This window comes from Homo sapiens, chromosome 11 (assembly GCF_000001405.40).
Source record: "Homo sapiens chromosome 11, GRCh38.p14 Primary Assembly".
NCBI classification, from domain to species: Eukaryota; Metazoa; Chordata; class Mammalia; order Primates; family Hominidae; genus Homo; species Homo sapiens.
In genome coordinates, this window is record NC_000011.10 from 13206993 (window position 1) to 13208033 (window position 1041).

The window sequence follows — 1041 nt, forward strand, 5'->3', positions numbered from 1 at the left end:
AGTAGCTGTCTGATTCTCTGTCCCAGGAGAAACAATGAAAGGCACCTTGGCACACTCCCACTAATCAGAGGTGGGGAAACACAAAGTCACATCCCCACCTCAGACACAGCTGGAACCCCAACATACTTGGATGGCCTAGGTCTTTACCTCCTAGGCCACGTGGTCAGCTGGAAGTGGCACTGCTCTGCCTCACTTGCAAATGACGAGGCCTCTCCCGCATCAAAAGTGTACTCGCTCGGGAGGCTGAGGTGGGAGGATGGTTTGAGCCCAGGAGGTTAAGGCTGTAGTAAGTTGTGATCACCCCATCCTGAGTGACAGAGAGAGACCCTATCTCTAAAGGACAAAGAATTAAACAAACAAAAACCAAAAAAAAAGTCTAGTAGCTGAGCCATGTCCTCAGGACACACCTAGGAGAAGGAATAAAGGAATCAGTGCGTTTGCAATGGAGACAGCTCCTCCTGGCTGCCTTGGGGTGAGATTCGTATTCTAATGGGTGCAAATCTAGAATTAAGTTCTATGCCTGATGAGAGGGTTGCACAAAAGACCAGAACAAGTGAAATATTTACCCTGTAGCATCGAGGATCATTGGAACATCTTTGCAAGGGATGTAAAAGGTAAGGGTTTGGAGTTTCAGGTGTGACAGGAAGAAAGAAGATGAAGCCCAGGGTAAGAATGCAGGGGAGGAGGGGCCGGGTAGGAGCAGAGACAGCAAACCTGAGGAGCAGGAGGAAAGTAGTGAGCACTGCAAGAATGGGAGGGAGCAGGGGGTGCTTTTAGAAGGAGTGAGTTATGCAGCACAGGGCCAGGCCTGTGGGTGCAGGCGCTTGCTCCTCCAGCCTTGTCCCCCACCCAGATCTGAAGGCTCCGTGCTCTCTCCCGCTTCCCCACCATTTTCTCTGCCCAAGTGCCTTCTGCCTGCTGATTGCCCTTATCTTTTTAGACTTAGCCCAGCTGATACCAGCTCTGTGAAGTGTTTCCCGATATTCCTCTCTCTCCCGACTTCCCTCTCTCCCCGAGTTAAGGACTTCCTGCTCTAGTGTC

General features: G+C 51.1%; 1 annotated feature.

Moving 5' to 3' along the window:
* Positions 256–813: an enhancer, noted in NCBI's record as "H3K27ac-H3K4me1 hESC enhancer chr11:13228795-13229352 (GRCh37/hg19 assembly coordinates)". NCBI's record gives its function as "activates a minimal SCP1, AML or CMV promoter by ChIP-STARR-seq in naive H9 embryonic stem cells {active_cell/tissue: H9 hESC(naive)}" and the evidence as "EXISTENCE:reporter gene assay evidence [ECO:0000049][PMID:30033119]".